Source organism: Homo sapiens, chromosome 1 (assembly GCF_000001405.40).
Source record: "Homo sapiens chromosome 1, GRCh38.p14 Primary Assembly".
NCBI lineage: Eukaryota > Metazoa > Chordata > Mammalia > Primates > Hominidae > Homo > Homo sapiens.
In genome coordinates, this window is record NC_000001.11 from 5,152,150 (window position 1) to 5,165,211 (window position 13,062).

Below are 13,062 nucleotides of genomic sequence, written 5' to 3' on the forward strand. Positions count from 1 at the left end.
CATCCCTTTCAGCCAGAAGGCAAAGCTTCAAGGACATTCCTGTCACCTCAAGTGCAATATCACTTAAACAAGCCCAAACCTACCAGCTAGGGGCTTCTTCTCACACACATTGGCATCCGCATTTCTGCTGTTGCCCATACACTGATGGAAAGCCCAGGTATCCTTGTGGAGTTCTGCCTTCTGGCCAACCCATAACTCAAGCCCAAGCTTCATCCTTCATGTTCCCACTGTCTACACCTTCTCTTAGGTCTCTCTTCCCATCCCCAGCCCTGTAATTCAAGTTTTCCTGGCTTAGGACCATCCCCTGTGTTATGGTTTGGCTCTGTGTTCCCACCCAAATATCACCTTGAATTGTAATAATCCCCATGTGTCAAGTGCGGGACCAGGTAGAGATAACCGAATCATGGAGGCAGTTCCCCCAGGCTCTTCTCATGACAGTGAGTGAGTTCTCCCAAGATCTGATGATTTTATAAGGGGCTTTCCCCTCCTTCACTCTGCACTTCTCTCTCCTGCCACCATGTTGGACCTGTTTGCTTCTCTTCTGCCATGATTATAAGTTTCCTAAGGCCTCTACAGCCATGTGGAACTGTGTGTCAATTGAGCCTGTTTCCTTTATAAATTACGCAGTCTTAGGCAGTTCTTTATAGCAGCATGAGAATAGACTAATACAGTAAATTGTTACCACAGAGAGTGGGATGCTGCTATAAAGATATTTGAAAATGTGGAAGTGACTTTGGCACTGGGTAACAGGCAGAGGTTGGAACAGTTTGGAGGGCTCAGAAGAAGACAGGAAAATGGGGAAAGTTTGGAACTTCCTAGACACTGTTGAATGCCTTTGACCAAAATGCTGACAGTGATTTGGACAATAAAGTCCAGGCCGAGGTTGTCTCAGATGGAGATGAGGACTTGTTGGGAACTGGAATAAAGGTGATTCTTGCTATGCTTTAGCAAAGAGACTGGCAGAATTTTGCCCCTGTCCTAGAGATCTGTGAAACTCTGAACTTGACAGAGATAATTTAGGGTCTCTGGCAGAATAAATTTCTAAGTGTCAAAGCCTTCAAGAGGAAGCAGAGTGTTAAAGTTTGGAAAATTTGCAGCCTGACAATGCAATAGAAAAGAAAAACCCATTTTCTGGGGAGAAATTCAAGCCTGCTGCAGAAATTTGCATAAGTAATGAAGAGCCAACTGTTAAGCACAAAGACAATAGGGAAAATGTCTCCAGGTCATGTCAGAGACCTTCACAACAGCCCCTCCCATTACAAGCCCAGAGGCCTAGGAGGAAAAAAATGGTTTTGTGGGCCAGGCCCAAAGCCCCCCTGCTCTGTGCAGTCTTTGGACATGGTACCCTGTGGTGCCTCAGCTGCTTCAGCTCCAGCCATGGCTAAAAGGGACCAAGGTACAGCTTAGGCCATTGCTTCAGGGGGTGCAAATCCCAAGCCTTGGCAGCTTCCACATGGTGTTGAGCCTGTAGGTGCAAAGATGTCAAGAGTTGAGGTTTGGGAACCTCTACCTCAATTTCAGATGATGTATGAAAACACCTGGATATCCAGGCAGAAGTTTGCTACAGGGGTGGAACCCTCATGGAGAAGCTTTGCTAGGGCAGTGTGGAAGGGAAATGTGGGATCAGAGCCCCCACACAGAGTTCCCACTGGGGCACTGCCTAGTGGAGCTGTGAGAAGAGGGTCACCATCTTCCAGAACCCAGAATGGTAGATTCACTGTTTGCCTAGAAAAGCTGCAGACAGTGAACTCCAGCCCATGAAAGCAGCCAGGAGGGGGGTGTACCCTGCAAAGCCAGAGGCAGAGCTGCCCAAGGCTATGAGAGCCCACCTCTTACATCAGCATGCCCAGGATGTGAGACATGGAGTCAAAGGAGATCATTTTGGAATTTTAAGGTTTAATGACTGTCCTATTGGATTTCAGACTTGTGTAGGGCCTATAGCCCCTTTGTTTTGGTCAATTTCTCCCATTTGGAATGGATGTATTTACCTAATGCCTGTATCCCTGTTGGATCCAGGAAGTAACTAACTTGCTTTTAATTTTAGAGGCTCATAGATGAAAGGGACTTACCTTGTCTCAGATGAGACTTTGGACTTGGAGTTTGGGGCTAATGCTGGAATGAGTTAAGACTTTGGGGGACTATTGGAAAGGCATGGTTGTGAAATGTGAGAACAGGAAATTTGGGAGAGGCCGGGGCAGAATTAAATGATATGGTATGGCTCTGTGTTCCCACCCAAATCTCACCTTGAATTGTAATGATCCCCATGTGTCAAGGGTGGGACCAGGTGGAGATAATTAACTTAAGGGGATGGTTCCTCTATGCTGTTCTCATGATAGTGAGTGAGTTCTCATGAGATTCGATGGTTTTATAAGGGGCTTCCCCCCTTTGCTTTTCATTTCTCTCTCCTCCTGCCATGTGAAATAGGACGTGTTTGCTCCCCCTTCTGCCATGACTGTAAGTTTCCTGAGGCCTCTCCAGCCATGCAGAACTGTGAGTTAATTAAACCTCTTTTCTTTTTTTTTTGAGAGAGAGTCTCGCTCTGTCACCCAGGCTGGAGTGCAGTGGCACGATCTCGGCTCACTGCAAGTTCCACCTCCCAGGTTCACACCATTCTTCTGCCTCAGCCTCCTGAGTACCTAGGACTACAGGCACCCGCCACCACGCCCAGCTAATTTTTTGTATTTTTAGTAGAGACCGGGTTTCACTGTGTTAGCCAGGATGGTCTCCATCTCCTGATCTCGCGATCCACCCGCTTCAGCCTCCCAAAGTGCTGGGATTACAGACATGAGCCATGGTGCCTGGCCACCTCGTTTCTTTATAAATTACCCAATCTCAGGCAGTTCTTTTTAGCAGTGTGAGAACAGATTAATACACCCTGAAATAGCATTATTTTACTCTCCATCTAGTGTCACTATATCAATTCCTTTTCTGTGAATACCACTTTGAAGCCTCTCCTTACTGAAAAAAAAACAGTGGCTGCCTATTACCTGTAGGACAGAGTAATCCAACCCTAGTCCTTTTAATGCAGTTAGCTCCTCCAATCCTTCTTTATTGGAAATACATGGGGGTCCTCCAATGCATTAGCTCTTCCAATCCTTCTTTATTGGAAAGATTGAAAAAGGGACCCCTTAAACAAAAGAGGTGTCCTTAAACAAAAGAGGTGGCAAGGCTCTGGAGTTATTAAAACCTTAGTTCAATTCTAGTTTGACTCTTTCCTTAATACCACCTAGTTGATGTCAGGATTTCCAGAAAGCAGAGCCCATTCAAACAAAAGTAGCTTTAGGGGAGGCAACAGCAAGCATTCGGGGAGAAGAATTGTTTATGTTCTTGAGTTTTGGGAGTGTGTTAAGAACAATAGCTAATTATATTCAGTGTCTTAGTCTGTTCCTGCTGCTAGAAAAAATTACCCAAGACTCAGTAGTTTAGAAATACTAGACATTTATTTCTCGTGGTTCTGGAGGCTGGGAAGTCCAAGATCAATGTGCTAGCAGCATCAGTTTCTGGTGAGGGTTTCTCTCTACTTCCATGACGGTGCCTGGTTGCTGCATCCTCCAGAGGAAGGAATGGAAGGGCAGAAGGGAACTCCCTTCAACCTTGATCCCTGTTATAAGGGTGCTAATCCCATTCATGAGGGTGGAGCCTTCATGACGTAATCACCTTCCAAAGGCCTCACCTCTTAATACAGTTGCACTGAAGATATGTTTCAACACGAATTTTGGAGGGGCCACCATCATTCAAGCAGTAGCACCGAGCCGAGCACTGGGGATAAAATTAGAGGGCATGTGAACAATGGCTACACCACAAGGGCTTCTTTCTACATTCAAATTGTTCAGGTTGAGTTTACTCAGCCTTTAGCTGACACTCCCTAGGCCTATTTCAAACAGCTGAGGAAAAATGTTGAGTCCTCAAGGTGAAAAAGTGAAGAGTGGCCATCACTGCACAGATGTAGCAAGAGGTCCCACCAGCAGGTGGCCCTGGTGTGGCCAAGAAGAGATGCCAACCCCTGATGACCCAAGCTCTTCCCACTGCCTACTGGGGCCTGGTCGCACATATTATCTGCTACAAGCTTCCAGGCAATGCCCAGAAGTTGCACAAGAACCCCATGCACAAAAACACTGTCACCCTTGGGACCAGGTCCTCTGTCCGTAATCCATTTCTTCCTCCCTCTACCTCATGCCAGGAGGAGAGATCTAACTTGCCTGCCTTCTGAAGTGATGATTTGTATTCCAGCACAATTACACGGCAACTCCAAATGAATGAAGATTCTGCTTAATATTTTTAGTAATGATAACACTTTGTAGGACAAGTGCTTTTTAAAACTCAGAGATGGAGGATGTGGAGTGGCATTTAAAAATGGAGTTGTTAGACAAGATTCTCTGCAGCCCTGGTAAATGTCAAACATTTTATCAACTGGGGAAAGTGGCATGTTAGACATATTTTCCCCCAAACCTGATTAAAACAGAAAGTGCCTTTTGCATATTCGTTTCTGTTTTATATTATGTTAGATATGTAGGAAAGAAACAAAGAGAGAGTGAGGAGAGAAGGAGGGAGGGAAAGAGGGAGCAGGGACGAGGAGGAAGGCTGGGAGGGCTGCAAGCATCAATTTAGGTGTGTGCAGATGAAGTGGGAAACAATCTGCTCCAGAGGCCCAGAGGGGACAACAGCTTTTTGAGCAGAATAAATAGTTTGAATGGGCTGAAGCTAAAGAAACCTGTTCTGCTTAGAAACGGGAGTGGAGTGGTTGGGGCTGACTGGCTGGCAGTCTCTCTCTGGAGGAATGAAATCTCGAGGGAGCCATGTTTGTGTTGGAAGACAAATTCGCTCAGCATATAGATGCATGCGGCGTGGCTGGCACCATATGGCTTCCCCTCCAGTCAGTCCAGCAGCTGAATTCTCACTACAAGCTGAACTCCAGCCACCCCAATAACAAGTCACAGGACCAGGTTGAACCACCCAGGTGGGGCTCTGTGATGAACGAGGGGAGGTCGAGGTAGGAGCCGCGGAACTACAGGGATGGCTTAGGTGGCAGGTCAGGAAGCATCTCCATCAGTGAAGGAATCAGAAATCAGTCCTGCAATAAGGCATATTTGCCCCTTTATTCTGTACACAAAAAAATAAAAGAATGTTGATGTGTGGCCAGAATTAACTGGAACTTAGGACTGTGAGTAATCAAAGCCTGTGAAAGCTAGCGGGAAGAGTGACAGCAAGGAGCACTGAAGAACCAGGGCAGATGTTGATGAAAAAGCCACAGGGGCGTCTTCCAGAAGCCAGGGCAGTCACATGGGGGCTTCAGGGAGGAGCTTCAGAGATCAGCACTCCGTCCCCTACCCCCAATACCCCCACCCACCACACTCCTGTTTTGTTCCCAGGGCACATCCGCTGCCTACCTTATCTCAGAGGAGCTATGAGTCTCCTGTGCCTCCCAGACTCAGGCGGTGCGGGGTACAGGGCGGGTCGGCCACGCAGAAGCAAAGGCTCCCATTGTTGATTCAAAATTCCCCCAGGAGGGGGTATTCCTGCCTCAGCTGCTGCAAGAGGCTGTCCGCTGGTCCTGTTGACTGTGGCCAGGAAGCAGGTGGGACCCACTGCAGCTGAAGGCTTCAGGGACTCACCACGGGCAGGCAGTTATCCAGGAAGTTGCCTGAAGGTGTTCACGGCAGGCAAACTAAACATGAGAGCAGGTGGCAGCCAGTGGCCTGGAGGGATCTAGAGAGGAAAGGGAGGCTGTAGATGCCCAGCTAGAGTCAGGCAGGAGCGAGAGAGTGCTAGGGTAGGAGGCTCTCTCCTCCTGTTTCATGGAGACCCTTTGTAGGGCCAGAGCCCTTCAGTCCCTCCTGCTCTCTGGAATTCCTTCATCCACTTTCCTCCCCTGGATGAGCCAGTTCTTTAGCATGGCTGTGCATTTTACAAATTTCCATCCTCCAGGACCACCAGGAAGCAGTGGCACAGAAAGTAAAGTCACGCTGGCCTCCCCAAGTTCCCTTCCTCATTGTTCTCTCTGGGCCCCTCTACCTCCGTCACCACTCCCCTCCTGGACACTTAATGCTAGGGATTGTCTTGTGCATCATGGGGGCCCTGCTGCCCAGCAGGGTGACTGCCCCTGAGCATGCCTTTGCATTAGTTTGCTTGTGTTGTGATGACATAAACTGAGTGGCTTCAACAACAGAAATGTATTTGCCCACAGTTCTGGAGGCTGGAAGTCCAAGCTCAAGGTGTTGGCAGGTTTGGATCCTTCTGAGACCTCTCTCCTTGGCTTGCAGACAGCTATCTTCCTTCTGGATCCCCACATGGTCTTCCCTCTGTGCATGGCTGTGTCTGTGTCTTAACTTACCCTATTTAGAAGGACCCCAGTCATTTTGGATGAGGGCCCACCCTAATGACCTCAGATAAACTAAAAATAGGGCATCCCCCCCAGCTCCCTGAACGGGGCTCTGTATTTGCTCCCCAAATGCAGGCTTCTCTCTCTGACTCTACTTGGATGCTCTAATCTGACACTGGGTTCTGAAATCCACGAGGATAAGTGGTAACTCCTTCTGATTTTAGTTCAGTGAGGTGTGTGGTGAGGTGACTATTCCATAGACCCAGCAATTGCAAGGAACAGCTCTTCAGATTAACAGTAAAATGCATACATACACACACACACACACACACACACACACGCACGCACACACACATAGTCTTAGCTCAGGCTTCCACAACAAAATACCACAGATTGGGGTGATGTAAACAACAGAAATTTATTTCTCACAGTTCTGAAGGCTGGGGAGTATGAGGTCAAGGTGCCAGCACATTGAGTAAGTTCCTAATGAGAGTTCTCTTCCTGGTTTACAGATGGCCACCTCCCCACTATGTCCACACGTGGCAGAGAGAGGGAGAGAAAGCATAGCCAGCAAGTCTCTTCTTACAGGAACACTAATCCTATCACAAAGGCCCTGCCCTCATGGCCTTATCTAAATCTAATGGCTTCCTAGAAGCCTACCTCCATCACATCAGGAGTTAAGTCTTCAACATATGAATTTGGGAGGGTGGACATGGCCATTCAGTCCATAACATACACACATAAACACACACACACACACACACACACACACACACACACACACATATTAAATTATAAACACAGTCACTGGTGTACGCTATATTAGTCAGGGTTCTCTAGAGGGACAGAACTAATAGGATAGATGTATATGGAAAGGGGAGTTTATTAAGGAGAATTAACTCACACAATTACAAGGTGAAGTCCCACAATAGGCAATCTGCAAATTGAGGAGCAAGGAAGCTAGTGGTGGCTCAGTCTGAGTCCCAAAACCTCAAAAGCAGGGAAGCTGACAGTGCAGCCTTCAGTCTGTAGCCAAAGGCCCAAGAGCCCCTAACAAACCACGGGTGTAAGTTCTAGAGTCCAGAAGCTGAGGAACTTGCTTGAAGTCCAGTGTTTGAGGGCAGGAAGCATCCAGCACAGGAGAAAGATGAAGGGTCTCAAAGACTCAGTAAGTTGGGGCTGGGCGCAGTGGCTCACGCCTGTAATCCCAGCACTTTGGGAGGCTGAGGCGGGCAGATCACGAGGTCAGGAGATCGAGACCATCCTGGCTAACACGGTGAAACCCCGTCTCTACTAAAAATACAAAAAAATTAGCTGGGCGTGGTGGCGGGTGCCTGTAATCCCAGCTACTCAGGAGGCTGAGGCAGGAGAATGGCGTGAACCCGGGAGGCGGAGCTTGTAGTGAGCCGAGATCGCGCCACTGCACTCCAGCCTGGGCAACAGAGCGAGACTCCATCTCAAAAAAAAAAAAAAGACTCAGGAAGTCTGCTCATCCCACTTTCTTCTGCCTGCTTTATTCTAGCCATGCTGGCAGCTGATTAGATGGTGCCCACCCAGACTGAGTGTAGGTCAGCCTCCCCCAGTCCACTGACTTGAATATTAATCTCCTTTGGCAACACCCTCACAGACACACCCAGAAACAATACTTTGCATCCTTCAATCCAGTCAAGTTGACACTCAATATTAACCATCACATGCACTCATACTAACACATACACATACACACAAACACATACACACATACTAACACATACACACACACACTAACACATACACACACTAACACATACACATACTAACACATGCACACACTAACACATACACATACACACTAACACATACACATACACACATACTAACACACACTTGTGACCATCATTGGTGATGATATTTTATCAACTCTGATGAATGTTATCTGCGTACACAAAAGTAGTCATCCCTCTAAAAGACCTCCCCTGCAGGAACTGAATTAATGTGGTAGAAGCTTCCCTTGCTCCGGATGGGTTTTCAGAGGTAGATGAAGCTGGTGTGCTCACAAGACATCCTACTGCAGTGAAATCATCCTGGGTCCCGAGTACAGGCTCGGGCCGTTCAAACATACACAATTTTAGGAGAACGTCAGTTGTCAATGTAAATCTCGTAACTACGACGCAGAGAGGAGAGGAAAGAGGCAGGCAGATGGGATTATGCAAACCGTGGCGATGCCTCGGTGTGTTGCAATGCCGCGCATTTCGTGATGTTTGTGATGCTCCTGACTTACTAATGCCCTTTTTGTGCTTCTTCATAGGAGAGTGGGTACTTCTCTGCCCTGTGAATTTTGATGTGGAAATTGCCCATTGCTCTCATGTCACATTAAGAGGTAAAATGGCATGCAAGACTACCGCTGGATATAATCTGGATGATATACACATTTGCAGAAGTGTATGAGAACGCTTTTTGAATTTGAGAACCACAGTTCTGAGTTTATGGTATCAACGAATATTTTTTAAATGGGCTTTTGAATTTAACCTAAAATGAGAGTCTTCTCGAACACAATCTGAATCCATTAGTAGTGATTTAACATGAATTTACCGTCATCATATCATTCCGCCTGCCTCTCTGACTCTGAATCCCTTTGGCCAAGTCCATTGGCCAGATTATTATCTTGCCCTCTGGCATTTGGCAGGCATTTCTCTTCTTGGGATCATTTGATTTTTTTTTTTTTTTTTTTGGCAATAGCTATTTAAAGAGTAACTCAAAATATGACTCTTGCTTTTCATTGCCTATCATTTTTGGGATTTTGTGTGGATGTGTGTGTGTGTGTGTGTGTGTCTTTTTCTCCCTCTACTCGTCCCAACAGAAACACAATGAATGGAAGGATGAGTCAGTGTGCTTCTGGAAGTGTCTTCACATTTGTTTGTTACCCTAATCAATGGATGTTAGTACAGGAATGCAACCGCTGCATTAAATTAAAGAAAAAATAAAGGTAGATAATATAATATTAAAACAAAGTCGGTACTTACAGAAAGCACAGCTGAAGTCAGCGCCACCAGTTTGCAGGCAGGTGACACCCTTCCCTGGGAGATCCCCTGGGGGAGCACATGAGGCCGGTCCTGCTGGCCACTGGGAGGGGCTGCAGGGAGGAGGAGCACCAGCCACACTCCCTTCCCTGCCCTGCCCTTGCAGGGGAAGAGGGAAGCCAAGCCCAGGCTCTGCATTAGCAAGAGGCAGAGAAAGGTGAGTATCCTGGAGAAGGTTTCACAAAGCTACTTTTTTCTTTTTGCAGGGAGAGTCCCTATAACATAATTGGACATCAAACAATTATGATGTTTGATATGAGAAGGAAGCAGAGTCCCTCCCATCCTCTGACACGTGCTTGTTACCTGCAGGCATATCCACGGGGACAGCTTCACCCTACCCTTCCGGCTGGGGAGACATCGCATTTGGAGGTGACTTCATCCTGGGAAATGCTGTACCGCATGATAGGGGCCATTTGCTGGAGGAGCAGGGGGGCTTTCAGACAGCAAAGAGCTCTCTGTTGGTGCCCTCTGCACCTTGGGCACAAATCGAGATTGGATTCCTGGGGAAACTCTTTGGAATATATAAAACATAACTTACTTTTTAAACCAATGACAGGTAGTTGTATCGTTATCTGACTGGAAAACAGATGGTACATTCAAATTGCGTATTTGAAAAGGACTTGGGAAAGAGACTATTGACAGAGAAATGGGCAGTGTTTGGAGAATTACTGGGATTCAGCAGCCAGCGTCTGGCCCTGAAAAGACAGAGGAGAGAGCAGTTTCTAGAACCCGGAGATACAGACAGAAGAATGGAGAAGGTGCCTAGCGGGGAGCTGAGATTCTCATTCAGGGGTCTCTGCCAGCCTCCAGGAGCGCCAGGAGGGAGCCGGTGGGATAAATTCCCCAGCCTCTCTCTTTCCCCTGTTTCCTGCAAGTGTGCTCTGTTGGCCAAACCCAGCGGGAAAGGCAAGAACCATAAATGCGGGGCAACCTCCCCAGGCACACAGCAGAGTGGATGAGTGGGAGGCTCAGCAGAAGGCATCCAGCAAGATGAGGTCTTCAGGTTCTCCCAACCCTGGACCATCTCTTCTCAGATTCCTTGGTGGAGTTTTCTTCCTCTAAAGAGCTGACGTTCTCAGGACCCCAACCTCCGCCCTTCTTTCACTCTGCAGGTTCTGATTTTGTCTTAGATTTTACATCAACACAAACACCCAGGCAACCCCTAAGTCTGTGTCTCCCACTTAACCCCCTCCTGAGTCAGAATACCCTACTTTTTTTCTTTTTTTTTTTTTTTAAGATGGAGTCTCACTCTGTTGTCCAGGCTGGAGAGCAACGGTGCAATCTTGGCTCACCGCAACCTCTGCCTCCCAGGTTCAAGCGATTCTCCTGCCTCAGCCTCCAGAGTAGCTGAGATTACAGGAGCCTGCCACCACGCCTGGCTAATTTTGTATTTTTAGTAGAGACAGGATTTCACCATGTTAGTCAGGCTGGTCTCGAACTCCTGACCTCAGGTGATCCACCCTCCTCGGCCTCCCAAAGTGCTGGGATTACAGGCATGAGCCACCATGCCCAGCCAGAACATCCTATTTCTAGGGTGTTCCAGGGTGAATTACCAGTCAGAGTGGTTCATCCACCTGGATGTCCCAAAGTCACCGCATGGACGATAGTGAGCCTGGAACTTTGCTGCCCCTCCAGCCTCCAACCACCTCAACAAGAAGCTGAAATTCATTCCTGTCCCCCGTGCCCCCTTAACCCTCATCTCGCTGCTGTCAGCTGCATGTCTTGACACCCCGCCCTGTGCTGGAGTGCCGGCTCCGTTCCACTCATACTGCCTCTGTTTCCCAGTGACTTTTTTTTTTCCATTCTCCCTCAGTCATCCCTTAGCATGACCACATGAGACCACTACAGAAGCAGAGATCTGTTCATTCCTCCCTCAGGCAGGCCCCCTGCTGTTCATGAGGCCATGGACGGGGCACTTCTGGTCACGTTCCCCGAGTTCCCACTTCTGCTAAACACAGCTCAGCCACCATGTATGACAAGTTGGGCAATTCCATAAAAGTAGCTCGTTATTAATGGAAATTTAAAAATAAAATGTGGTGAATGATTCACTCTGTGAAGTTTGATTTGCACAAGGGAACTTTTTTTTTTTTTACAAGAGAACATTTTGGGATGACGGACATGCTCTATATCCTGATTTTGTGGGTGGATACACAGGTAAGTAAATGCACCCATCGGAATCACCCAACTGGACCCATAAAAATGGGTGCATGTTGCTGAATGTAAATTAGGCATCAATAAAGTTTTTTTAATCTTTAATTTTATTTTAAGGATACATGTGTAGGATGTGCAGGTTTGTTGCATAGGTAAACATGTGTCGATGGTTTGTTACACCTGTTAATCCATCACCGAGGTATTAAGCCCCACATGCATTCAGTATTTATCCTGATGCTCCCCCTCCACCTGCCCCCATGGATGAAGCTGGAAGCCATTATTCTCAGCAAACTAACACAGGAAAAGTTGTTTTTTGTTTTTTGTTTTTGTTTTTAAGTTAGAGCAGATTCAAGGTTAGCACCAGCTCTCACATTACACTCACTCATTGGCACTCATGCTTTTGTATTAGTTAGAGTGACTGACGCTAGCTGCTTTGACAAACAGCCCCCAGGTCTCAGTGGCTGTTTACCACAGGGGCTTTGCATTTTGCTCACATCCTGGAAACTATTGTGTGTTCAAGACAACCTTTCAAGTGGTAAGTCAGGAAATCACTCTCCTCTCATTTCATCTCGTGTTTCTGCTGGGACCTCAGAGTCATCCTTGAGATCCTTCGCATCCAGCCAGTGGACCACGAGGAGAGAGAGAATCACACATTTTACAAATTGAGCCTGGCAGTGTCTGACCTCACTTCTACTCACACTCTGATGGGCAGAATGAGTCAGACGCCCTGCCCCCACACATGTCAGGGCTGGAGGCTTCCGAGAGGCAGGGAGGAGAGGAGATCTGGTTGTCAACAGGCTGCATGGTCCCTGCTCTGTCTTTATAGATAGGGACATAGCAGGTTGAAGTTAGAGGAAGGTCCCCAGGAACTGCACAGAAGCTGCAGCCTATGTTATCAAAAACATATCCCCAAGTTGTGCATGCTTGTAAAATGTGTGGCATCTGCAAATGGCTGGAATGCTCTATTTCCTCATACTGCTTTGGAGGGGTGTCCTTGACCATGAATGTGCTGGGGACACAACCATCCATCCACCTGCCATGTGTCCCAGGGTGGGTTCAGGGCTGCCAGATGCCCCAGGATCACCCCTCACTGGAAAGAGAACTTAGACAATCTGACTACTCCACAGGAGCAGGGGTGGTGAAGCTATGGGCAGAGGCAAGACCACTCGGGGCTGGCGGGGGATAGGGAGAATCGTAAGTCCAAGCTGGAATGGAACGGTGACTGCAGGAGATTCAGCAGCATGTCGAGGACACCACCCTGTGTGTTTGGCTCTGGCAGGTAAAGGATGCAACAACCACCTGCATCCAGGGGTCTCCCTCCACCTGTCTCCACCCCCCATGAATTCCACCACTGAAAGAAACATTGGAGCCCTCCCAGAGTGTGGTACAAGGGGTGAGAAGTTTTCAGAAAGAGGATGGTGGCCACCTCCTTCTCCTTTGTCTTAGTTTTGTCAACAAAAGTCTACATTAATCACAGGTTGTTGTTGTTTTTCTGTATCTTATGATGTTTTGACATCTTAAAAACTTTGCTGG

At 47.6% G+C, this 13,062-nt stretch overlaps 1 annotated feature.

Moving 5' to 3' along the window:
- Positions 5,045–5,545: an enhancer, noted in NCBI's record as "H3K4me1 hESC enhancer chr1:5217254-5217754 (GRCh37/hg19 assembly coordinates)". NCBI's record gives its function as "activates a minimal SCP1, AML or CMV promoter by ChIP-STARR-seq in naive H9 embryonic stem cells {active_cell/tissue: H9 hESC(naive)}" and the evidence as "EXISTENCE:reporter gene assay evidence [ECO:0000049][PMID:30033119]".